This window comes from Homo sapiens, chromosome 3 (assembly GCF_000001405.40).
Source record: "Homo sapiens chromosome 3, GRCh38.p14 Primary Assembly".
NCBI classification, from domain to species: domain Eukaryota; kingdom Metazoa; phylum Chordata; class Mammalia; order Primates; family Hominidae; genus Homo; species Homo sapiens.
The window spans coordinates 65,718,486-65,746,415 of record NC_000003.12 but is presented as its reverse complement, the minus strand read 5'-3'; the positions used below and the strand labels follow the sequence as shown (position 1 = coordinate 65,746,415).

General features: G+C 40.1%; 1 protein-coding gene and 1 long non-coding RNA gene across 7 annotated transcripts in view; both read left to right on the top strand.

Annotated features, from left to right (window-relative positions):
- LOC107986018 (uncharacterized) overlaps window positions 1-27,245 on the top strand; it is a 63,442-nt gene extending 36,197 nt beyond the window's left edge. The window contains exon 2 of the long non-coding RNA XR_001740441.2: window positions 828-27,245. This is a non-coding gene — a long non-coding RNA (uncharacterized LOC107986018). The remainder of the gene's footprint in view (window positions 1-827) is intronic.
- The window catches only part of MAGI1 (membrane associated guanylate kinase, WW and PDZ domain containing 1), a 685,393-nt gene that overhangs the window by 292,503 nt on the left and 364,960 nt on the right, over window positions 1-27,930 (top strand). The window lies entirely within an intron of this gene.

Sequence of the window (27,930 nt, the reverse complement as noted above, 5' to 3'; positions counted from 1 at the left end):
AGAATTTATCATCCTATATAGAAACATTTACATCAAATTAGTCTTGAATCAGGGAAAAATATGCATTGAATTAAGAATTCAGGGCTGGACGTGGTGGCTCACACCTGTAATCCCAGCACTTTGGAAGGCCAAGGCAGGCAGATCACAAGGTCAGGAGTTTGAGACCAGCCTGGCCAACATATTAAAACCCTGTCTCTACTAAAAATACAAAAATTAGCCAGGCGTGGTGGCAGGTGCCTGTAGTCCCAGCTAGTTGGGAGGCTGAGGAAGGAGAATCGCTTGAACCTGGGAGGCAGAGGTTGCAGTGAGCTGAGATTGTGCCACTGTACTGCAGCCTGGGTGACAGAGCAAGACTCCATCTAAAAAAAGAAAAGAATTCAGTATCTGGCCAGGTGCAGTGGCTCATGCCTGCAATCCCAGCACTTTGGGAAGCTGAGGTGGGTAGATCACTTTAGGCCAGGAGTTCGAGACCAGCCTGGGCAACATGGCAAATCCCTGTCTCTATAAAAAATACAAAAAATTAGCTGGGCATGATAGTGCACACGTGTAATCCCAGCTACTGGGAGGCCAAAGTGGGAGGACTGCATGAGCCTGGGAGTCTGAGGTTGCAGTGAGCCAAGATTGTGCCATTGTACTCCAGCCTGGGCCACAGAGCGAGACTCTACCTCAAGGGGGGAAAAACAAAAGAGAATTCAATATCCACTTGCCGTAGGCACCTTGCAATGAGAAAAAGAAATAATTGATTAAACATATGTCTTAAATTACTAAGAAAGGCATAAAATTTGCCTATTGAATTTTAATGTGTGTTATGTGTTTATGTTTTTCAGGTAAGGAATTACATTTGGTTCTGCCTGGTTTCCTAAGGGACTTGACAGATGCTGTCTTCTTATGTTCATTTGTAACCTGCCAATTCATGCAAAATATGCTTGCCTGCGAAGTTAGGGCTTCCAATTGTAAGTAATACGCTCTGTATTTTTGTCAGTGGATTGGATCTTGTGGTAAGAACTGTGCAAGATGATCTTGGTTATCTGCTAGGCTGATTTCAGAGGTGCAGTCTGACTTACTGACCACTAATCCTTGACACCACTCCCTGTGCCATTCTGGGGGCACTGTCTGTCCTCTGCCCTGTGCCCCTTTGCCTGTCTCATTCCTCCTGCTTGAGATACCTTCTCTTTCCTGCTTCTGTTTCTCTGTAGCTTACACCTTATTTGAGACACAAAGCATTCTGGTTCCCTGTATATAACATTTCCATTGTAAAAAATAATTTAATATGCGAAAATAGTTTTCCAAAAAATCACTTGTGGAAAAACCTTGAAAACATTATGCTAAGTTAAATATGCCAGATGCAAAAGGACCAACACTGTATGATTCTGCTTGTATGGAAGATCTAGAATGGGCAAATTCAGAGAGACAGGATGGAGACTAGAGGTTGCCAAAGGGCTGGAGGGAGGGACAGAATGGGGAATTTATTGCCTTATAGTTAAAGAATTTCTCTTCCAGGTGATGAAAAAGATAGATAGTAGTGATAATTGTATAATGTTGTAAATGTTACTAATGCCACTGAATTACATACTTAAGAATGGTTAAGATGGCAAATTTCGTTTTATATATGTTAATGTAATTTTTAAAAAGGGAAAACAAAGTTGTCCATAATCCCACCCCTCGGAGATTTCACTGTTAATACTTTCGCATCTTTTTCTTACCTTTATTAAAAAAAACAGAAAACAAAAACATTTCCTGACAGTCTTTCTTATCATTGAAATTAGGATCCTAGAGTATAATATAGTCTATATCTTCTATAAAATCAGTCTATATCTTCTTTAATTCAGTCTTCTTTCTTAAGCATGTTTCCATACGATTGGAACCTTTGCATCAGCCTGGTCAGCTACTTAAGATTTCATTCTAACCAGACTCATTCATTTAAAACAGTGCCACTATAATCTTTCTCAGCCTATTCTTGTTATGCTGACTTCCCCATTTCATTTATTCAGCAAACATTTACTGAGCATTTGCTATGTGCCAGTTATACTTTGGGCCCTCGGAGGGAGGTAGAAGCCAGTAATGGGGTTCAAAATCTGGAGTCACATCGTCTAACCTATGCAAACCAGTTCTCTGTGATATATTTTGAGAGACATTGGGTGATCTATAGATTCTATACTATTCATCTGGTCCTAAAATTCTCTGATATGGGGCATTTAGTTCTGAAACCTGAAAACTAGCTAGAAGAAACCTGGCCATGAACAAACTGTTAGAAGCACATTTTAAAAGTTAGCTTTCACTGTTTTTCTCTATTAGGGAGATACCCATGAAGCTTTTGGCCTTTCCTAAAAACTGATTTGAAATGTAATGAACAATTTGAAATTTTCATTCCCAAGAACAAAACAAAACACCCAAATACATCCCCTTATTAGGAGTCTAATGAAGGAATGTTAAGTCTCACTTTTTTTTTTTATTTTAAAGTTTTAGAATAACAAAGCCCACACATAATCATGGTGTCTTGGTGAGTATATATTATCTTTATGTGTAAATTAATTTTCCCCAGACTTTATTTTATTATATTAAAATGTGTTCCACTCAAGACTTGAGAACCAACACAAAAAATGAATATGTGTTAAATATACCCTAGAGACAGAAAAAATAAATAATTACTTTAACAAAACCCTTAGTGACACGAATAGACTTTTCTTTTAGACTTTTTTTTTTTTTGAGATGGAGTCTTGCTCTGTCACCCAGGCTGGAGTGCAGTGGCACAATCTCAGCTCACTGCAGCCTCTGCCTCCCAGGTTCAAGCAATTCTCCTGCCTCAGCCTCCCGAGTAAGCTGGGATTACAGGCCTATGCCACCACGCCCGGCTAATTTTTTGTATTTTTATTAGAGATGAGATTTCACCATGTTGGCCAGGCTGGTCTCGAACTACTGACCTCAGGTGATCTGCCCACCTTGGCCTCCCAGAGTTCTGGGATTACAGACATGAGCCACCACGCCCGGCCTAGATATTTTAAATACTGGCAGAGATGAGGACTGCTTCAGAGATATTTTTCTTGGGTGATTTAGAAGGAAGATGGTGGAATATAAAGAACTTGGTGGACAAACACTTAGGAATCTTCTAGACTATATCCTGATTTTATAGTATCAGGCACATAGTAAAAGCTTGGTATAAAGTTGAGCAAATGAATGGATTTTGAAAGGACTGAACTTTTAACATTAGAATATGAATATTATCACCATGGGAAAAAAGATACATTATTTATTTTAACAAGTGATCTCAAGAGTGATAATGAGATGATGTGGTATGAATCATCTTTGTATGCCTAGACGTATCTAGCATCCAGGAAAATATGCAGATGTCTTTGTAGAGAGAAGTCATGTAGGGTCTCTTTCTTTTTTTTTAAGCAATTGATAGAATGAAGTTTATTTAACCCTGTCTCCCATTTACTCCTTTCTTCAAAAGCTAATTTTCATATCTGTTTTCAGACTTTTATGTGGACAGATGTTTCAGGGTTTGTTTGCAAACATTTCCCAGACATATTGTTGATCAGCAGGTTTCTGCAATTAACAGCATCTTCTTAAGCCTGTTTCCTACATTCTGATTGACTGTATGACAAATGCTGTAGGTTTTCACAGATGCAGGGAAAGAGAAGGTTACCAGCTCAGCAGAATCCTGTGGAAATCAGATATGAGTCTTAGGACAGTTCATTGGAAATGGAATTCAGTAAAAGGTTGAGAGCGCATGAAGTAGTGTGGTTGTAGGTGGCGTCTTGAATAAAGTCAGCTGTTGTGCATGCACCCCAGCAGACACTGGGGAATGCACAGACACATTCACTCACACACAATATCTCCTTTAATCGTCTGAAGAATTCTGGGAAAAGCGACTGGGGTCTTTATTTCAGCGATGAGGACAGAGAGGCTCAGAGACCACAGAGCTTGCCCCAAAGCCCATATGAACATTCATGGTGGAGCCCCAAGTCACATTCTGATGTGTCTGGCTCTGAAGCCCTTACTTGCTCTACATAAAAAAGTATTCATTAAAATGAGAAGCAGGCTCTGGGTATATTGGATTTTCATAATGGGGAAAAAGATGCATTCATTGTCTCAAAACATGGGCGCAGGAGTTCTAAGAATTTTTTTCTTAAAATTAATGAAATAATGATGTAAAATATTTGGCAGGGAACCTGATTCATTGAAAGTGCTCCAAAGTAAGGCCTGCTGTTGCTGTTGTTTTTGTTATTGATATGCAACAACAGGAAACTTTGAAGAACAGCCTTTGTTCTTCTTGGACTTGATACAGTGTTAAATATTGTAGAATTCTAAGCATTTTGATATAAATATATTTAAATATCATATCCCCATGCGAGTGAACAAGGGCAATGAAAGCCACGTAGTATTCATTTTGTAGACTGCATTCCAGTGGATTCCAAACATCCTACTCTGTCAAGGTGGCACCTCCTCTATGCTGTCCTCATTAGGCTGTACCTAGTTCCGGGCATGACACTTATTAGTTATTTGTTGAATGAATGGGTGATTAAAATTGGTCGTGGGGATTAACTGTCTGCAGCCTGGATTGGGTCTCCATGTTCGTGGATTTTCTAGAGTGTGGATCTCCTTGTTGAAAGCTTTCTGCTGATGTATAATAAATTTTATTCACAAATGAAACACATCCTTTGATGTCTATGACATGTTGTGATCCTAGGGTATATTCCTCAGCATTAAAGCCATTAACTTATCCCAGTACAGAAGCATGGTTTAAAATGAGTCTTCTCAACGTGGCTTCTTTAAAAACTCTGCAAATTGTAGCTCAAGGAAGATAGAATTACTCCCTGTTAGGTTTTTAAGTTCTTTTGTAAATTTTAAAGATTGACACAACTGCAGGAGCCAACAACAAGAACTTTTTATTTCATCAAATGTGCTCATCAAATGTTGTAGCTTAATAAATAAAGCAATAGGCCAGGCGTGGCGGCTCAGGCCTGTAATCCCAGCACTTTGGGAGGCCGAGGCGGGCGGATCAGGAGGTCAGGAGACTGAGTCCATCCTGGCTAACACGGTGAAACCCTGTCTCTACTAAAAATACAAAAAATTAGCCAAGCGTGGTGGCGGGCATCTGTAGTCCCAGCTACTTGGGACGCTGAGGTGGGAGAATGGCGTGAACCTGGGAGGCGGAGGTTGCAGTGAGCCGAGATCGCGCCACTGCACTCCAGCCTGGGGGACAGAGTGAGACTCCATTTAAAAAAAAAAAAAAATCAATAATAGCAACCTCTTTTATTTTGATGGAACTGCAGTTTCCACAGTTGATCAAGTTCTCTCTGGTCATAACCATAGTCTTTGATGTTGTTTACATGATTATAGAAGGAGCTTCAAAATGTGCATTTCAGAAGCAGCCCAAAAGGCATTAAACTCTTCTCACTATTCACCCAAAGCTGTCATTGAATCATATTTCCCCCATTACAAAAACAGTAAATCTGAAATACTTAGGAAAGATAGAAAAGCATAAAGAAGGAAAAATAGTGATCTCAAAGTTAATGGCTGAACATTTTTGTTTATATTTTCTAGTGTTTGTGGATGTGTGCATACAAAAATGGGGTCACATATTTACAAGTGGATTTTTATTTACTTAGCACTATGTGCCTTAAATTTTTAAATCTTAATATGTATTTTTTCACGACCTGACCTTAGTGGCTGAAAGCAGTGGTTTTATAGAGATAGAGGTTTCCTGAAGTTTTCAGAATGTCTATTGATAACAGTTGAGAGTAGATTATTTCTTAACCGATGCAAAATAATGAACAGTAATTAAGTTTTCCATCGTTTCTCCCCACTATCACTGGGATTTTCCTGAGACCTTAACAGTAAATGTGAAAATAATGTGTGGCCCTACAGCCAGACACCCTTATCACTGCCCTGTTCACCTTCCCTGGAAGAGGCAAGTAGGCATGGCTGTTAGAAACAAAGGGTTCAGATTTGGGCTTTCCAGGTTCAGATCCCAATATCTCAGTTTACTGGGTGTATGACCTTTGCAAGCTCATTAACAATTCCAAGCACTGGTTTTTGCAGTGGTACAATGGGGATAGTAATTATACTAACCTCCTAGGATTTGTGGGAGCATTAAATTAAGATAATGTAGTAATGTCCCTCACACGATGACCAGTGCCCAGAAAATATTATTAGCATCATTATCAGTCCAGTAAATTGTTTTAAAAACCAAAAAGACACTAGTGGAAATTGATTTGTGGTGTTTCCTGGCAGAAAAATGAATATGGGTTGTTATGTTTCTGTGTGTTTGAGGGTGTGTGGGAGTACGCATGCATACTGAATGCACATTCCTATCAGAGGCTTCAGATAAACTAGTGCTTGAAAGCCATTCCAGGCACATCCTTTTGATTGTGTCCCTCTATTGCACTTTGCAGATACTGCATTTTTTTTTTTACAACTTGAAGGTTTGTGGCAACTTTGCATTGCCCAAGTCTATTGGTGCCATTTTTCCAACAGCATGTGGTCACCTTGTGTCTTTGAGTCACGTTTTGGTAATTCTCACAATATTTAAACTTTTTCCTTGTTCTGTCTGTCTTGGTGATCTGTGATCATTTATCTCTGATGTTACTGTTGTAATTTCAGGGTGCCACAAACTATACCCATATAAGATGGCAAACTTAATAAGTGTTGTGTGTGTTCTGACTGCTCCACGGATCCCCCTTTCCCATGTCTCTCTCCCTCTCCTGGGGCCTCCCTATTCCGTGAGCCACAACAGTATTGAAATTAAGTCAATTAATACCCTGCAATGGACTCTTTAAGTGTTTGAGAGAAAGGAAGAGTCACACATCTCTCACTTTAAATCAAAAGCTAGAGATGATTAAGCTGAATGAGGAAGGCATGTGGAAAGCTGAGAGCGGCTGAAAGCTAGGCCTCTTGAACCAAACAGTTAACTAAGTTGTGAATGCAAAGGGAAGAGTTCTGGCGGCAAATTAAAAGGGCTATTCCAGTAAGCACACGAATGGCAAGAAAGTGCAACATCCTTATTGCTAATGTGGAGAAAGTTGGTCTGGATAGAAGATTAAACCAGGTACAACATTTCCTTAAGCCAAAGCCTGATCCAGAGCAAGGCCCTAACTCCCCAGTTCTGTGAATGAAGGCTGAGAGGTGAGGAAGCTGCAGAAGAAAAGTTTGAAGCTGGCCTATAAGTTGGTTCATGAAGTTTAAGGAAAGAAGCTGTTTTTATAACATAAAAGTGCAAGATGCAGCAGCAAGTACTATTGTAGAAGCTACAGCAAGGTATGCAGGAGATCAAGCTAAGATAATTGATGAATGTGGCTATACTAAACAACAGATTTTCAGTGCGGATGAAACAGCCTTCTATTGGAAGAATATGTTGTCCAGGACTTTCCTAGCTAGAGAGGAGAAGTCAATGCCTGGCTTCAAAACTTCAAAGGACAGACTCAGTCTCTTGTTAGGTGGTAACGTAGCTGGTGACTTGAAGTTGAAGCCAATGCTCATTGACTATTCTGAAGATTCTAGGGCCTTAAAGAGGGTGCTAAATCTACTCTGCCTGTGCTCTATATATGGAATAACAAAGCCTGAATGATAGCACATCTGCTTATAGCATGTTTTACTGAATATTTTAAGCCCTTGTTGAGACCTACTTCCTCAGAAGAAAAAAGATTCCTTTCAATGTATTGTTACTGCTACTCATCGACAAGGCACCTGGTCACCCAAGAGCTCTGATGGAGATGTACATGGAGATGAATGTTGTTTTCGTGCCTGTTAACACAGCATCCCTTCTGCAGCCCATGGATCAAGGAGTCACTTAAACTTTCAAGTCTTATTATTTAAGAAATACATTTTGTAAAGCTATAGCTGCCGTAGATAGTGATTCTTCTATGGATCTGGTCAAAGTAAGTTGAAAATCTTCTGGAAACAATTTACCATTCTAGAGGCCATTAAGAACATTTGTGGCTGGGTGTGATGGCTCAAGCTTATAATCCCAGTGCTTGGGGAGGCTAAGGTTGGAGGATCACTTGAGGCCAGGAGTTTCAGTGCAGCCTGGCAATACAATGAGACCACATCTCCACAAAAAAATTTTTTTTTTAAATTGGCTTGGGGTGGTGGCCCATGCCTATAGTCCTAGCAACTCAGGAGGCTGAGGCAGGAGGATGGCAAAAGTTTAAATATAACTTTTATATGTGCTGGAAAACCAAAAAATTTATGTGACCTGCTTTATTGCAATATTCACTTTATGGCGGTCATCAGGAACCGAACCCACAGTATCTGTGAGCTATGCCTGTATAAGTATTCTCTGAGGATATTGATGGGATGAGTGCCACTGTCAGTGCAAACCTGTTGTGATTTAAACACTTTGCTCCTGCAGTGAGATGTGGCCTAAAGCCATTAGCACAAAGAGGAAGGAAAACTGGAGGGCTTTGAAAGCACTAGTTGCCTACAGTGAGTTTTTATTTTCAAGTTAGAATATTGTAAGGGAATGTGGAATCTGATTTTAGGAGTCCTAATGAGGCAGGTTTAATGCGCTAATGGCGTGTGTGTGTGTGGAGAGAGGTGTGTGTGTGTTGTTTTCGGTAATTGGTTAAGTGAAACTTCAGGCTTCCATCTTCACCCCTTCCAACCCATTTGCCATATGTGGGTAGAGTAATGTTGATAAAGTAGAATTTAGTGATCTCACTTCCTCATTTAAAATCTTTCATTGGTTGTAATTTGACGTGATTAGCCTGGACCTTTGTGGTTTGACCCCAGCCACCTACCCATGTAAAATCTTTATTTTCTGCCTCTTGGAAGTATTGGAAAACCGGGCACCATATGGCAGCCAGTGATTGTGAGTGAGCTACCACCTGCCATGCTCCCACAATGCTCTCTCCTTTCCTGTATTGGAACAATGTTACATTATTGTCTTATTTCCTGTTGTATCCCCAGTATTTAGCACATTGCTGGATTCTAACTCAGGGCATACCTGGTGAATAAATTAATTAGTTCCAAACATTGACTTGTTCTTTACTGGAAGAAGTTGCTTTTATTCATTAAATTTAAGGCTGATTTATTCATCCATCCATCTGTCCATCCATCCACCCGTCCGTCCATCTGTCCATCCATCCATTCATTTTAAAAGTCTTGATGCGCTGGGCGCAGTGGCTTACGCCTGTAATCCCAGCACTTTGGGAGGCTGAGGCAGGTGGATCACGAGGTCAGGAGATTGAGACCATCCTGGCTATAACACGGTGAAACCCCGTCTCTACTAAAAATACAAAAAATTAGCCAGGCGTGGTGGCGGTGCCTGTAGTCCCAGCTACTCAGGAGGCTGAGGCAGGAGAATGGTGTGAACCCAGGAGGTGGAGCTTGTAGTGAGCCGAGATCGCGCCACTGCACTCCAGCCTAGGGACAGAGCGAGACTCCGTCTCAAAAAGAAAAAAAAAAAAAAGTCTTGATGCAAGTGTGACAGTATTAACAATCAGTTCTGGCTGGTGGGCACAAAGGTGTTTGTGGTATTCTAGGAATGAAGTTGCCTTTGAAATTAATAGTGAGATGGTTAATTTTGTGTGTCATCTTGACTGGGTTAAGAGATTCCCAGGTAGCTGGTAAAACATTATTTCTGGGTGTATCTGTAAGAGTGTTTCTGGAAGAGGTTTGCATTTGAATCAATAAACTGAGTAAAGAAGATCTGCCATCACCAATGTGGATGGGCATCATCCAGTCCTTTGCTGGCCTGGATAGAACACAAATATGGAGGAAGGGCGAACTTGTTCTCTCTTCTTGAGCTGGGACACCCATCTTCTCCTGCCCTTGGACATTGGAGCTCTTGGTTTCTGGGTCTTCGGTCTCTGGAGGATTTATACCAGTGCTGCCCTTACCCACCCCAGGTTCTCAAGCCTTCTGGCTTGGATTGGGAGTTTATACCATCATGGATTGAAATATACCACCAGTTTTCTTGGTTCTTTAGCTTGCAGACAGCATATTGTGGGACTCCTTGGCCAATTCACATGAGCCAGTCATGTGAGCCAATTCCTATAAATAAACTTCTTCTTATATATCTGTATATATATGTCCTATTGGTTCTGTTTCTCTGGAGAGCCCTGACTAATACAAATAGCATTCTTTTAAAAGGAGTCTCTGTTCTTGTCACCTGGAACTCCATTGATCTAAAAGTCACCACTGGAAGATCCCACATAGATGAAGCTGCTACTTTTGCTGGGAACTTTTCTTACAGGTTGGAAATAGAATGATAGAAATCAAAGTGCTCTTTTGGCAAGACCCATAGAAAACCATAAGAGAATTGAATGATGGTAACAGAGAATGAACCTTCGGCTCTCTGAATTCACTTTCAAAAATATCAGTGTTACTTCTGAAAATTCTGCGTCTGGGAGATTTAATTGTTGGAGTGTCTCAGGCAAGAGCAGTGTCTTTAGAGATGAAGATGTGGGTTCAGATTGCTGCTCGGGCACTCACTGGGAGTAGAACTTTGATCAGGCTATCTAATCTCCATGGGCCTCTATGAAATCTGACTGTGGAGGTAAGAATGGTCCTCACAGAGGCTTCAGTTATTGACATGGTGCCTGTAAAGTGCTTGATAACCTGGCACATTCTAAGCATTTAATGAGCGGCAGCGGACATCAATGTTAATATATGTGTATTGGCAAGTCAAATTTTTTTTGTTGTAAGTGAAACTTAGCAGAGGGAGAATCTTTAACTGTGGAGCCTCCTTGGTCAGCACATGTTGCTTTTCTTTTTGTCTTCAGTAGGTTGTTGATAATAATGATAACTGAGGTGCTGCTGTGGGGCCTGGGGGTTGCATTTTTATACTAGCTCAAGGATCATTCACTGGGTTGGACGGATCCCTAGCAAGAGCCGTGAATACCAAATTCAGTGCTGTCTGACCATCTGTGGAGGCTTCAGATTGCCCTGGATCTGTTGACAATATTACATGATAGATCAACTTAATGGAATCTCGCTGATCTCACTCATCTTATTGGTTCTTATGTAGGTCTCACCATCTTGCATAACCTTAGGAATCACCTCCAATATTTATATTTTCTGTTGATCTCCTGTACACACACACACACACACACACGTGCAGACACACTTTTAAAAACAGGCTTTATCCACTTTTAAAATGAGAACCCCCCCAAAAATCCTTAACTTCTGTTTCCATTTGTCTATTATTAGAACACTTGCAGACAGCAATCTATAAAGTGAAATTTTAAAGCAGTCTACATGGCTCTTATTCATTCATTTTCAAGAAAAAAATTAAATGCTAGGAATACAGCATGATTCCAATATGTATTTGATGAAACATCTTCAGAGGTTAAATGACATTCATAGATATTTAAATTTAGCTTTGTGTTTCAGGAGTAATTTATTATTAAATAATAAGGGTCTTTTGCCAGATTCTCAAGTAACTCAATTGTATGCATAGGTATATACTTTCTTTTTTAATAGAGAGAAGCTTTTATGTGAATTGTAATGATCTATAGGATAATTTTAGGATTTGTCTTCCTTCCCCCTCCCCTCCCCTCCGCTCTCTTCCTCCCTTCTCCTCCCCTCACCTCCCATCTCTTCACCTCCCCTCCCCCCACCATTTCCTTCTCTGTCCTCCCCTCCTGCTGTTTATCTAGATGTGACACTGGATTTAGCTTCCCTGGAAATTTATAATAAATCCATACACACATTCAAGAGGACTCGCTTATTGTTAGATTTTAACAACTCTGCTTCCTTCAGGAATCTTCAGCAGTCATATATTTGTGTTGGAAACAGTCACTAAAGAGTTTTCAATGCTGTTGAAATAGAGATTTGACTAATGATAATGAAGGTTATGTAGACAAGACAGTTTCTCTCTCTCCCTCTCTCTCTCTCTCTCCCTCTCTCTCTTTCTTTCTCTCTTTCTCTCTCTCCCCCTCTCTCTTTCTCTCTTTCTTTCTCTCTCTTCCTCTTTCTCTCTTTCTTTCTCTTCTTTCTTTTTTTTTTTTTCTTGACAGGGTCTCACTCTGTTGCCCAGGCTAAAGTGCTGTGGCATGATCACGGCTCACTGCTGCCTCGACCTCCTGGGCTCAAGAGATCCTCCTGCCTCAGTCTCCAAAGTAGCTAGGGCTACAGGCAAGTGCCACCATACCTGGCCAAGTCTTTAAATTTTTGTAGAGGCAGGGTCTCCCTGTGTTGCTCAGGGTGCTCGAACTCCTGGGATCAAGCCTTCCTCCCACCTCCTGCCTCAGCCTCCCAAGGTGCTGAGATTACAGGTGTGAGTCACTGCACCCAGTCAAGATAATGTTTTTAACCTGCAAATGAAAAATGAGTTGGCATCCTCATCTGCTATATCTGTTCTCCAAACCCTGTCAGCCATGGGAAAAATCGACTGAGACGATGTTCTTCTTTTTGAGAAAGATAAATGGACCTCAGAAAGGGACATTATAGTGATAGGAGGAGTAGATTGGATTTTAAATCAGACCCAAGATGGAGAAAAGTAACACTCAGAATTAGAGCAGGAATTTCGGTGTTAAACAGCAAACCTGCATTGCCCTTCCCTGGGAGTGGATTAACAACAGCTGTAGTGACATGGCCTCCTACAAACATGTGAAGGTGGTTTCATTGCTTCCATTCCCTTCTTGGAAGTGTCCATCTGACTATCTTCTGTGCTTCTGGACTGAGCAGGCAAGGAAGAAATATCCTAGATGGTTGCAGTGATTTATTTATGCCTTAATATGCCATATAATATAGCCACTTTGTTTCAAGATTAAGATCAAACATCCAAGGAAGGGACTGGCTGAAGATTTAAACGGTCTTCAAATTACCACATCTGCTACATCTGTCCCTATAAACCAGATGGTTTTTTGATAGGATGACTCTCATTGTGTGAGAGATGGATGAGGTTTCCTTCTCTGGTTTTTCTCTTGGATTGCAGTTGCCACTGACAGATAATCTTAGAGCAGAAATGTCTGCTCTGATGGGCTAAATCTTCAAGATATTTCATTATTTGTTTTTCTTATTACAGTGTTTTGAGGTCAAACATTCTAAAATATAGAGATTTTTACATACAATTAATTTTCTGGCTTTTCATTTAAAAACACAAAACACAGCTGGGCACGGTGGCTCACGCCTGTAATCCCAGCACTTTGGGAGGCTGAGGTGGGCGGATCACCTGAGGTCAGGAGTTCGAGACTAGCCTGGCTAACATGGTGAAATCCCATTTCTACTAAAAATACAAAAAATTAGCGGGGCGTGGTGGCAGGTGCCTGTGATCCCAGCTACTCGGGAGGCTGAGGCAGGAGAATTGCTTGAACCCAGGAGGCGGAGGTTGCAGTGAGCCAAGATCGCGCCATTGCACTCATTGCACTCCAGCTTGGGAGCAAAACTCCATCTCAAAAAAAACAAACAAAAACAAAAAACCCACAACAATGACAGAAAAAACAAGTGATCTTGGAACCCTGAGTCCAGACAATCAGCAAGAACTTAATAGATTCTTACCCCATTAATGGGGCAGGAGATTCCCCAGTTTGCCACAGTCCTCATCATTCCCTGATATTTTACACCTAGTTCATTTTTCTCATTTGAGTTTCTCATCAATGAATTCAAGAATCAGAGTCATAGTTTTTTTGCCAGACCTTAAAGATACTTCTTAGCATATAGTTTAATGCTTTGAGTTAGTACAAACTCCAGGAAGTGGATCAGACTTGGGGAATGAGGGAAGATATGCATAACTTTTGCTTAATTGTGATGTATAATCTGTAGCAGGATTTTTGCATAATTTTGTTATGATAGTTGATACTAAAAACAGAAGTCTCAAAAGAGTTTTGTATATTATATTGAAGGAATCCTCATTCTATTCAACTTCACATTCTTGTTTTCTAGGTAAGTGCCGCGCTGTGATTAGCAGTCTTTCTTCTTTACTGTTGTAATGCTGATATCCTCTAGAGGGTAGCAGAGAGCAGCTTGATGTTAGAGAGTCTGGGGAAGGATGCTGGTGGTTTGAAATGATTCAGAAACCGTTTCTTTCCCTTTCTCGCACAGCTAATCCTGGGAGCTCTTGGAAAGTGTGGCAGGAAGGATGAGGTTGTACTCTTCACTAGTTACTGCTTATCAGTATCCCCAAGGATCAGTCTAATGAGAAGTGGGTTTGTGTACAAAGTCTTTGCAAGTTTTCATGTCTTGTAAATGAGAGTAGCCAAATCTGGCTTGTCTGTGTGTTTTACCTAAGTGCAGAGCACCTGGACTGCAATCCTAGCACACAGACATTGAAAAGAGGCAGGAACTTTTCTTCTCTAGATTCTGTTATCTCTCTGAGGTTGGTGCCCTCTTCTTTATGCAGAGACTGAATTCGTTTTATTTCTGAACAGTTCAGCAGGGGCTAATTTGCTAAATTGATACGTGAATGTTTTCTACCAAGAAGCTATATAATTTAAAGGGGAAAAATATTCATAATACTTAAAATAGAATTGTTTAATTGCGACATTTCAGTATCCCAGTATTATATCAGAACCACAAGTAATCAACTCTGACAATATTGTACACAACAGTTTCTAAAATTTAGACCCTCATTCTTTCCTGTGCTTGTAAACTTAGCAAGAATGGAGATTACACCTTATATTCCAATTCTGGCTACTATCCACATTTAACATTCTTCTTAGTATCAGTCTTCGAATCCTGGGGATAAATAAGCACAGCTTGCTTTTAGGCTGAATTTTCAGAGCGCCATTTATTATTTAAAGCACTAAAAATGCCTGATTTATGCATGATAATGTAAATTTCTTTCTTTCTTTTTTTTTTTTTTTTTAAATTTTTTGAGACAGAGTCTCACTCTGTCACCCAGGCTGGAGTGCAGTGGTACAATCACAGCTCACTGCAGCCTCGACTTCCCAGGCTCAAGTGAATCTCCCACCTCAGCCGCCCCAGTAGCTGGGACTACAGGCATGCACCACCATGCTCAGCTAATTTTTTTTTTTTTTTTTAAGAGATAGGGCTTCACTGTGTTGCCCAGGCTGGTCTTGAACTTCTGGACTCAAGTAATCCACCCACCTCAGCCTCCCAAAGTGCTGGAATTATAGGTGTGAGCCATCATGCCTGGTCATAGATTTCCTTAAATGCTGTTAGAATTCTATTTAACCCGACTGGAGCCAAGTTTTAAGGTGGACTGTGTGATGGTGTTTTTAGCCATAGCACGAAAATTCCTTTTATGTATGTCTGACATGGCAAACAAACATTCCCATATTTGCTCCAAAGCTATTACATTCTGAAGACAGGGTTTCTCTCTTGAGAGTATTTGTAAGTTCAGCCTTTTACTTATATACCAGTCATTAAATCATGGGGTATGGGTTATATGTTTTAAATGGACATTTTGATCACCCTTCAGGGAAACTGGAAGAAATGCCCTGTTGCACGGTGGTTACCTTTTGAGTTATCCAGTAACTAAATTTGGGGGCTAGAAGATGCCTCTAGAGGTAACTTGATTCATTGTGATTCTTTTCATTGAATTTGGCAAAACTACAATGGAGGTAACCATTTCACTTATTAAAAAGAAAAAAAAAAACAAAAACCCCGGGGGGGTGGGGAGAGTTAGACAATAACAGATTCTGTTCTACAGCTCTGACAACACTTCAGCCTCTCACAATATTTTGCTGTAGAGAAAACAAAAATGAACTATTACTTTTTTCTTTTAGTGACCATTTATTCATTTGTTTATCCGTAGATCTTTCCATTCTAGGAAACATTTGTGGGTTACAGTGCTGTCCTTATCTCCTCAGTAGCATCTCTCCCTGTTCCCGCTAACTGACCCCTGATTTTGTGTCTAGTCAGCACAATTACTTGATCTCAGGCAAAGCAGGCCTGTCCCAGGTCATACGTCGTGAATCACAGTTGGTCTAAGCCAGTCTCGTCAGTCCATTCTGCCACACCAGTGACTGGTCTAGAGTTGTATATGCGACCCAGCTCTGGCCAATGAGACGTGAGGGGAAGTAGAAGAGATTCCCTTCCTTAGTAAAGATGATGGATACTCATGAAGATAGTCATTTCGCCCCTGTCTCCTGCTTCCTGCTTTAAATGAGGATATGTTGCTTGGAAAGGTAGTAGCATCTTGTGAAAATGAGGTGACAGGCTTGGGGAAGAAAATTCACATGCTGAGAATGGTGGAAGCCATTTTTTTTTATAGCATTGTTGAAGAGCTGAAGCAACCCCAGGGATCACTTCCAGATTTTGTGAGATAAATAAGCCACTAACTGTTTAAGCTACTCTTAATGCAAAGATTCTCTTATTTGCAGCCAAAAGCATTCCTAACTGATAAACCACCTAAAAGGCAAATGATGTAATGGAGATATTCACCAATTCCACAGCAGTATATTTTGTCTCAATCTGCTCTTCATAAATATTTTCTTTTGGCCTGGAAAGAAAGACAGATGCTGAGAAATGTAATTAGACTCTTGGTATGTGTGGCCAAATTTTAATTTCTAATTGAACATGAGGCCCCAAAATGTTTAGTCACAGAAAGAAAGTAATACAGCATCTCTTATTCAATCAAGTCATTCTGAACTACTTATATAACCAAAGGTCAGTGGTAGCAGGATTGTATTACATGGTGATTTTAATGTTCTGCCTTTTGTTGCTAACGGCTTGTTTTAAAATCTAGTTCAGTTTCCTGCTTAGATTGCAGTGCTGTATTTGCAGTAGACAAATTCAGAGATTCTCTTGGGAGACTCTGGTTATGGCTGGATTCCCAGAACAGCTGAAAAGGTCAGGAAGTAGAGTTCACTTTTCATTAGCGATGGGGAGCTTCAAAGATGGGTTCCAGGGTCAGCAAACACACATTTGCTCAAGGAATTTGGCCTTGCTGGGTAGTGGTTGTAATGTTTAGTAAAGCAGGATTGGCAGTGGCTCTTCCCTGAGTTAGATTCAGTGTTGTTTCTAAACCTTTGGCTGGAAGTTAGTCCACTTAGACATTCAGATAAAACCAAATCTTAAATGACTGTATAAAATATATATGTTTTATGTTTTATATTGTCTACTGTGCATAGTATTATACCCAAAATGCTCATACATAGTGATTTCATGTGATTTTAGCCAACCTCAAACTTTGATCCTAACTGTATTGTTAGCTGAAGTCATTGAGAACTTTCAGCCAGGAAATATTTTTAAATGAATATAGTTTGTTTACCAATGTAGGTGCAGGCAACCTCAACGTATGCTTACATAATGTAATAGAGATTTTGGAGTGACCTGCTGTCAGGAATAGATAAGCAGTTTATAATTAGTGTGTTGGTCCTATATGAATATACTTGTAGATGGCTTGTTTTCTTCAGAGTGAATATCATCCCCCCCCCCCCCCCCGTTCCATTTTTTGTTAACTGCTAATTTGTAGGACAGATTTGTTTTTATTGGATAATGCAGAACACAGATTCAGACCATGCCAGGTCCAAATTTTTGCAAAACTTGATTTAATCAGATCAAAATTAGTCAGGTTTTACTGCATGTCATTCCTATTTAATCTCAAGAGTTATTAAACACAGTAAATGATCATTTTGTGAGGAGATGTCATATGAGTATTGATTAGGAATCACAGTAAAGCCTTACTATTTTAAAAAACAATTGGCTTCATTACACACTCAAGTTCTACTAGAGGAATAGTGCTTATGCAGTTAAAAAAGTTTTATCCCCAAGTTCCTTTAAGATTTTTTAAAAAAAGTGTTAAGAATAGTGGTGTCCTAGACAAAATAATTTTTTAAAAAATACGGTTTTTTCTTTGCATCATTTCTTTGGGACAGTTGTTTCTCTTCTGACAATACTGTTTGAAGGGTAAAAGTTCAGCTGTGCCACAGAACACCTGCTCTTTGCTTAGCTGAATGACTATCTAGTTTGACTTATTTCTCCAGGATTTGGAATTTTAGGCCCTGGGGTTTGAGGAAGTAACTTACCATGTTTAGGGGTGAATTACTTCTCTTCATCTTTTCAGCTTTTCTTCTTGCTGTTTCCCACACAGCAGCAGCTGTTTTTAACAACAGAAATCATGTCATAGCACTTTCCTGCTGAAAACTGCTGAGCAGCTTCCTGCAGACAAAGATCCAAATTCCATACCATGGGCTCTATGATCCCACGTGGTCTGTCTCTCTTTGCATCTCCAGCTCATCTTAGGCCACCTTCTGCGCCTCACAGGGTGCTCCAGCTCCAATCATCCTGTTCTGAGTTTTCCCCAAGCTCATTTCCATCTCAAAGCATTTGCTCCTGTCATTTGCCTCATATGGGAATCTCCTTCCCTAGATCTTTCTTGACTGATGCCTTCTCATGGTCCCAGACACAGTTCCTATGCCACCTCCTTAGAATAGCCTTCCAGACTTCCAGACCCTTCCTGAGTGTGGAAAATGCTATTCTGACAATACATTATGTTAGCTTACATTGAAGTTGCCTGCACCTGTATTAGGAAACAGACTATATCCCTTTACAAATGTTTCCTGGTCTATTTTGGGTGGGGGTACTAATTGACTTTCTTCTCAAATAGTACTCCCACCCAAATTTCCACCTATAGTCACTCTCCCTGACATCACCCGGATTGATATATCATCCTTAAAAGTATAACATAATTTTCACTTCTGAATAATATATATCTGCTTTCCTATCATCTGTCTGCCTCTGTGAAAATAGAAGCTCCGTCTTGCCTACCTTGTTGATCCATCTTGTCTGTCTCTCTGAGGGAGACTGGGTGTCCCAGTGCCTAGAGCATATAGGAGACACTCATAGTTACTCATTGATTGAAACAAAAGAAAGGGAAACAAGCAATGTGTGAATGCATCTGGAATATTTTAGAAGTAAAATAACAGAATTAATTTAGGCCATTCACATATATTACTCACATCTCCCAGGTTACATTCAGTTTATCATAAAATATCTTCCTCATTGGAAGCTTCATTTGGAGTAACTCCCATAGAGCCAGGGGCAATGGCACACACCTGTAGTCCCAACTACTCAGGAGGCTGAGGCTGGAGGATTGCTCGAACACAGAAGTTCAAGGCCAGCCTGAGCAATATAGCAAGACCCCACCTCAAAAACAAATAAATAAATGGAATAACTCCCTGTTTCTTTATATATATAATAATTCGATTGTAACTCAAATGTTTATTGAAGTCCTTTTATCAGGTAACACAAATGTGTAAAGCAGTGGTTTTCAAACTGTGTTCTGTGAATTCCTAACTCTGGTAAAATTCCATTTAAATAAGTGTGCTGTCAGATAAGTTGTTGAATTACAACAGTATCATATTCTTTTAACATGTTCTATCAGCATGTTAAAGAATTTTTGTAAATCCTACAGTGAAGAAATTTCTATTACTTTGTCTCACTACTTCCTACACATATTTGGCCACAGAATTTTCTCCATCCCATATATTTTGTTTTCTTCCAAATTCCTGTTAACATTGTGTGGAATTACAGGTTGAATATTCCTCATCTGGAATGCTTGGGACCAGAAGTGTTTTAGATTTTGGATTTTTTTTTTTTTTTTTTTGGATTTTGGAGCATATTGGATTTCAGATTTTTGGATTAGGGATACTCAACCTGTTTATCCATCTCCCTTTATCTGTTCCATTCTGCCTCTCGTCTTTTGCATGCCATGGCTATAACGGATAATGGTGATACTTGCCTGGGGATTTGAAGCCCTATCAAGATGCTCGTAGGATAAGAGACCATTCTGAGGTCCCTAGGTGCCTGAAACCCTACCCAGGCCCCCAAGAGCTGAGGGCGTCAGTGTTTCTAGGAACCCTGGTGAAGTTGTGCTTTATAGCACACTTGTGGATGGTGTCCTAGAGAAATTACAGCTTTCTTTTGGATCAGTATGTATAAAAGACAATAATTCTCTCTAGCCATTTTTGAGATATCACCAATGAACTGAGGGTGGCATTATTTAGAGATTTCTGGGCTTCGTGAATGCTGCAGAAACTTGATACCTCAACATAACCACAAAAATAGGGCAATATATGCCTGCCTTGCTGTGTGATTTTCAAAGGTTTGGTAGAGTTTCTGAATCTACTTCTCATTTGTAGGAAAATGTACATTGCAATAGTTATTCACTGTCAGAGACTCAATATCTTTACCAGATTGAATGGTTAGCATCCTGTATGCTGAATATTCTATTCTCCTAGACTTCCATTTTGTCATAATTTAATTCAAAATCAAAGTTTCTCATTGTGAAATATTAAGCCAAGGTGTTTTATATAAAAAAGCATTGAATTATCTTATTCTCCAGGTGGCATAGCTTAAATAAGATGGAAATGTAAATCTAATCAATGACAAGACTGTGTCTATTTTATACTGTATAGCTTCTTTAAAAAAGACTGATTCATATGCAGCAGTAATTCATTTAATCTCAACAAGTCTTTGCATAATTTCATATTTCTTTACTATACTCTGCCAAGAATATGTTCATATATATTACTTTAACCCTGCTAAACTGGCTTCAGAAAATACTTGAGAGGCAACTAGACTGTTAACCCTTTAAATAATAGTTTCTCTTTTCCCTTTCTTTCCTTTATTTTTATGACGAATTAACTTACCTGGAATCAAGTTTTTTTCAGAATTTGAGTTCCAACCTTTTTCCTGTTATGCATAGACTTTTCTAACGTTGGAGCAACCAGCTTGGAGAGTCTTGAAATTCTAACTTCTAGATCTTTTGTCTTTGATCATCGGCTAAGACTGTGCTGCTCCCATTTTAAGTAGGCTGGAATGGAATGTGCTGCTACTTATTCCAGGATCTGGCAGAGTGAAGAAGGAGATGTACTAATTCCTGTCTTTCAGCATTGTTAGCTTGGTGACACTCAAGTCCCTTGCATTTCTTCTTTTCCATGCTATGCCAGAGAATGTCAAAAGGTGAGTCCACATGCCTACTTGCCAGCCTTAGTTTCTCAGTGACCAAGTTGTCGAGCCCCAGCCACCAGGGTTTGGCAGAGTTGAGACAATGGAAGACTGTCTGATAATTGTACCTCTGTCCTCCTGCTGTCTTGTTAGACATGTAACAAGATCTGTGATACCCTGTGGGGGGTGGTATAATAAGAACTCAAGGATGTTTTATTCATCTTTGTAGCTATAGTGTGTGCTCAAATGGTAATAGCTGATGTTTGAGATAGGTCCCATTACTCTCCCTGTTTTTCAGATGGAGACACTGGGGTACACAGAAGTCAAGTGGTCCCTTCAAGGCTATAAGGAGATAGAGCCTGGTTTCACATCCTGACATTATTGTTCCAGAGTCCATGCACTTAACCATTGTACTGTCCTACTTCAATTGAATGACTTAATTATAACTGAAAGGGATAAAGAATCAAACTGTGTTGCAAAGGAATCTCATTTGGAGTTGTTTCCTTCTAAGCATATTGAAATATTGAGTTTTTTTGACTCAAATCCTGGGTGTTGTGATTTAAAAATGAAATAGAGAGATTTCAGCTGGGATTTTAATTTATGCTGTGTTTTTCATGGTGATTGATATGGTTAGGCTTTGTATCCCCACCCAGATTTCGTCTTGAATTGTAGTGCCCATAACCCCCGAGTGTTGTGGGAGGGACCCAGTGGGAGGTAATTGAATCATGGGGGCAATTTTGGCCATGTGGTTCTCATGATAGTGAGTGAGTTCTCATGAGATATGATGGTTTTATGAGGTGCTCTTCCCCTCTTTGCTCTGCACTTCTCTCTTCTGCCACCATGTGAAGAAGGACATGTTTGCTTCCCCTTCCGCCATAATTGTAAGTTTCCTGAGGCCTCCCAAGTCTTGCTTAACTGTGAGCCAATTAAACCTCTTTCCTTTGTAAATTACCCAGTCTCAGGTATGCCCTTAGAGCAGCATGAGAACAGACTAATACAGTGATCATTTATATATTTAACAAATGTTGAGCACCTAGTATGTGTCGGGCATTATCCTAGATAACAGTGGCTCACCAATGAACAAAACGGGAAAAGCCCTCTTTTCAGATAGCATCCATTCTAATGGGCAGTATAGATTTATCTGATCCAGGTATCCAGTAAAATTTCCTACCCAAAGACTTTGTAGTTATGACTATACTCAGGTGAAGTTATGGCTATGCTCAGGTGATTGAGAATAATGGTAGTCCCATGCTGAAAGGGCTGTCTTCTAGACTGCTGAAGGATAACTTGAGCAAGCCATTCTGACAAAAACCTGAGAGATGAAACAGAATCAGACATCTTTAGTGTGGTGGTGATTTTTGTTGCTGTGGTAACCATTTCTGTTAGCATCCCTCTCCATGACTACATTATAATTTTCACAGGACAGTGTGAGTTTATATACAAACAAACACATGTGCTTTTATAAAGCCTTGTTGAGGTGGAAGAAAGCTCGAGGACATGTGTTGCCTTTTTTAAGACACACAGTGTTTGGGCTAATTAAACCTGTCTGTTCAGGCATATCATTGTCAATGCTTTGCTCAGAGTATTAAGTTGCTTTCTTTGAAGTGATGATGTATGTGTCTGCAATTGATGGGATTTTTGAAATGTGTGTGTTCACAGGTACACCTAGTAGATTTTTACTTTTTCCAATCCCCAAACATGCTAATTTCCACACAAAGTTCTCTTGCACTCATGCTGAATCTCACTAAAGATTAAATACTTGAGGCTCTAATGAGACCCTCCTATATAATTAAGATGATCACTCTCACTTTAGCATAAGTTCTCCACCAAAACTGTGATTATGATGTGCATTTTTACATGTCAAAAGTACTAATTTTGCCATTTGTTGTTGTTAACTTTCTGAAGTTAATGAGAATGTACTGTTTAAGAGGAGCATATGTGTAGAGGAAACACAGATCCCAGTTTATTATCTGTGTCGACTGATGTTGCTAGATATGTTACACATATAACATCTATAGAACTCAGTCCCCTTTGTGACAAACACCATGAGCAGGGAAAGGACTTGGAAAGGAATAATTTTGAGGAGTATAAATGAGTCCTGAAACTTTGAAAACTGCTGCTTGAGGAGATTCTACAGCCAGAGGTGCCAAGAGATGGCTCTTGCTATTATTTCTGCCCCTAGAGATTGTCAGCTTTCTTTTGGAGCTACTTTGGGGTGGGGAAACTCTTAACACCTTCCAGATACTGGATGTTCTGCATGAAAAGTCCAGGATTGAAGCATCTTGGTGATGTAGCTCTTTTCTTCAATAAGCTTATGGACACAAGATGCTCTTGTAGACACAAGATGCTTATAAACACACACACTTCCTCCGAGGTGTACCCACAGTGCCACAAGGGGTTTCACTCCTAGCTGCACTCTGACCTGAACTGTGTCTCTTCTTAGTTCATCTAGGTTTTGTTGAGCACTGGCCACTAGTTCAGACTCTAAGGCAGGTTCTCCATTGCGCCTTCCTGACATCTTTTTCTGACCTGTATGATGACAGTCCGGGCAACCTAAGTCCATGAGGGATGTCCTAATATCATTGCTCCTTCTCAGTGATCTTTGAGCTCCAAATTCTCATTTGTGACTTTTTTTTTTTTTTACTACAACAGATATCTACATCTTGTATCTATAAAAATCAAAGGTAGTATTCAAGTTCCCTCCAGCCCCTCCACCCCTCCCCTACCCCCACAAGTATTCACCGTTAGAAACAGAAGTGGCTGGAAACTCACATGGTGTTTCTTTTGTTCCTTTACAGAAATGTGGGCCTATGGAGGGCTAAATTTGCTCATGTGAAACTTCTGCTAACGTTGTTCATAATTTCTTGAGGCTTTCATGTCACACTAATATTTTATGATTTAGATAAAATTTAGTCTTTGTTATCACAGAGTTTAACAACCATGTAGAAAGAAGATGAGTCCAAAGTAATTTTTTTGTTTTTGAGACAGGGTCTCGCTCTATGGCCCAGGCTGGAGCGCAGCGGTGTGATCATGGCTCGCTGCAGCCTCCAGCTCTTGGGCTCAAGCAATCCTCCCATCTCAGCCTCCTAAGTAGCTGGGACTACAGGTACATGCCACTGTGTCTAGCTAATTTTTTTTTTTTGGCAGAGACAAGGTTTTGCCATGTTGCCAAGGCTGATCTCGGACTCCTGGGCTTAAGTGATCTGTCCATCCCTGCTTCCGCCTCTCAGAGTACTGGGATTATAGGTGCGAGCCACTGTGCCTGGTCCCCAAAGTAATTTTTTTATTGTCCGGCTTCTCATCTGTTTCCCAGAGTTTTCCCATTCACTAGGTCATTTAATTCTTAAACAAATCTAGGTAAGGTGGATAGTGACAAATCAACTGTGGTGAGTACTTGTATCACGACATACTAAGTTTAGTTTCCTGATATTCAAAGTAGAAATATTCCACCTACCTCTCAAGACTGCTGCACGAATTGGTTGACTCAGTTCTTAAGCCATGGAACTTGCTCTACTGTGAGAGCACTGTGGAAAGAGCAACTGACCCTGAGTAGTAGGATTGGAGGAGGGAAGGAGGTCAGCAACAGGGAACTCATAGTGGAAAGCAAGACTTGTAAGGGCAGAGTGAGAATGTGGGAGGACATTCCAGGAAGAAGAAACTGGATAGTCGAGAGCCCAGAGTTGAGACACACTGGGAAAGTAGGGAATTACAGATTCCTTAGTCGACCTCCAGAATTAGAAATCAAGTCTATGTAAGCTTACTTGAAAAAAAAAACAAAAAACAAAACAAAACATACAAACAGAAACAGCCATTTTAAGGAAACCAACTGAGGCAGTGTGCAATGATTTAATTCCATAAGTGTTCATTGTCACATTCTTTGGAGTAGCATAAATAAGAGGAGTAGTATTTTCGAGTACATTAATATGTTTTTCTCTTTTACATTTCTGTGTAAATGACCTTCTTTCCCAACACCCAGAGGCATCCATTTGCCTCAAGGGATTATGATTCTTAAAGCAGGAAGGCAGGAAGGAGTCAGTGCTTAAGTTTTGTCTACCAAAATAAGATTTTCTAAATCCCTTAAGCCTACATTAGCATATCAAGAACAAGGCCCAGTGGTGAACTTGAATGTCAAGTTTAATGTAACTAGGGTGACCACACTTACTAGCTTGCTTAGGACAGCTCTAATTCATGCACCTTATCCTGACCTAATTATCAGTAGCACCCCTTTTACTCTCAAATGCATCCTGGTTTGGATGATGAATTATAAGTAAGGGAAGTCCCTGCCTCAGAAGAGGTAGAGTGACATGGAGCCCAGCCCTTCGGGCCTAGTGGAGTGTGGGGATCAAGGAAGATGGAAAGGGAGGGAAGTAACAAAATATGTATGTGTGTGTGTTATGTTATACCCTGGAGTCAGAATTCCAGTGTATGCTGGGAGTGGTGGCAAACATATTAGTTAAAAGCAATAGGGCGTTGGTCTCACTACCTCTGGAACTCTAGGAAGGCTACACTGCAGGGCCATCCCATACCAAGACAGGTTAACAGCAGCTCGGTAAGTTTAGGAGAATGGCCAGGGATTTCAGGTGGGATTTCACACCTGAAATCCCAACCCTTTGGGAGACTGAGGTGGGCAGATTGCTTGAGCCTAGGAGTTTGAGACTAGCCTGGGCAACATGGTGAAACCCCGTCTCTACAAAAAATTAGCCAGGCGTGGTGTTGTGCACCTGTAGTCCTAGCTACTGGAGAGGCTGAGGTGGGAGGTTCTCTTGAACCTGGGAGGTGGAGGTTGCAGTGAGCTGAGATTGTACCACTACACTCCAGCCTGGGCAACAGAGGGAGACCCGGTCTCTAAAACAAAACAAAAAAATAAAACAAACAAAAAAAGAATAAGAGCATATCAGGCTCAGGCAGAGCGAAGGCCTGAGAGATCTATCTATCCTGAACTTCCTCATCTCCCACTTGGTATGAAAGGGAAGCTTTACGTGTTTCTTGGGGGATGTATAAGGTCCTGAGGAGAGAGCCTGTGAGCTTACCGTGGGTGATGCTTTAGTGATGGTGAGCTAACATTCTAGAAGTACAGGCTAAGATGGGCTAAGTCAAGGATTGGTTAGGGGATGGGACTGAGGCCCAGAGGTTCATCAGAATTTGAGGGGGTTAAATTAGGATGGAATTGGTAAGAGAGAACGTAGCACTCAGTCCAAGCCTGGAGAACAGAGCCAAGTCTTCCAGGGTAGGCTTCAGTGTCAGATGCCCATGGGGCATACACTGGGTAACCTGGCAGGTAAGGTACTTCACAGCAGAGAGAGCAGAGGACTCGGTGACCAGCACAGGACCCCTCTTCCTACTGCCACAAGATTGTGTGAGCCTCCCAGATACCTGGATGTCATTGTAGGGAGGATTTGCATTAACATTAAAAAAAAGAGATGGATTTGTTCATTTAAAATATATTAATCCAACACTTACCCTATGCCTGGCACTACTGTAGATACTGGGAATACAGCAGGAAATGAAACTGAAAAAAATCCTTGCCTTCGTGGAACTTACATTCCAGTGACTTCACCCAAAGACTCCATTTAAAACACAAGAAATTGAGATACTGTCAACAATAACTTAGCACTACTCCGCTACCTGTCAGGGTAAGAGCTCTTAAGGAAGGTTAAATAAACTATAGACAATTAAGAAGTTGCATTTGTTTTGTGCATCTGAATTGTAACATTTTTAAGTTTGACACTGCTGTCATAACTGTGCAAGATAGGAAGTTGAGTAGATGGGCCAGGTGCAGTGACTCATGCCTGTAATCCCAGCACTTTGGGAGAGCAAGGCAGATGGATCTCTTGAGCCCAGGAGTTTGAGACCAGCCTGGCCAACATGGCAAAACTCCTTCTCTACAAAAAAATACAAAAATTAGCCTGGCATGGTGGTGTGTGCCTGTGGTCCCAGGTACTTGGGAGGCTGAGGTGGGAGGATCACTTGATCCTGAGAGGTTGAGGCTGCAGTGAGCTGTGATTATGCCACTGTACTCCAGCCTGGGCTACAGAGTGAGACCCTGTTTCAAAAAAAAAAAAAAAGAGGTTGAGTAGATAAGTTATGGTACTTCTCTAATAAAATACTATGCATTAACAATGATGTTATAGATGAATATTTATTTATATATAACAGTGTTCACAATGTATGATGTAAATTGTAGAAAGCAAGTTAAAAAAATCATACATAATATTTTTAATTTAAAATATATATACATTAAACATTGTATAATATCCACATTCTACAAAAATGTATATATGGTAAGCCCAGATATATATATATGTATATACACACACACACACACACATATATGTGTATATATATGTATGTGTGTATTGTATGTAATATATATCCATATAAGCCCAATTCAAATAAATCTATAGCAGTGTCTTGGTTACATTTATGTAGTTAGACTGCTGTTTGTGGATCTCTTTGTATTTATCTGTCTTCTGATGCTTTTGTTATTAATACACAATGTTTTGGTTTAAAAAGTTATTTTTCAAATGTTTTTTTATTGTTTTTAGTATTCAACAATTTAGGGCGTTTGCTTTGTGTCTTTTTTTTTTTTTTTTTTTGGTAGGGTTATGTGCTACTGGGTAGAAGTTCTGAAAAACAACATATAGGCTGTGGTGAGGAGCAGAGAGAGGGCAGGAAAAGGGAATTGACCTTTTCTTTTAGTGCTTTTTGAAAGGAAGGGAGGAAGGAAACAAAAGAAGGAAAAATACCTCAGCCCAATTGGAAAGACCAGATGGAAATCTGTAAAGGATGCCTCATGATACCTGCCTTGGGAAATTTAAATACAAATGTGACAAATATGTTGTTTCTGGGAGATTCATATGAAAAAGGATTTTTTTTCATCTCCGTTTTTATGTTGTCCTCAGTGTTATATCAGTTTCTAGGCACACATATTTGTACGTGAATCCTGTAATAATTTGATCTGAGAACGTGCTCTGAAATCTTTGTCATCTTTCATCACAGGCTACTTCGGCTGTTTATACCAGAGTCATGAAAATGTGAAATAACTTAAAGGCAAGATGCATTACTAGTATGTAACTAAAGTGAACCGCCTGTGATTTGCAGAGAATAGAAGTGTGATAGAAGTAGATT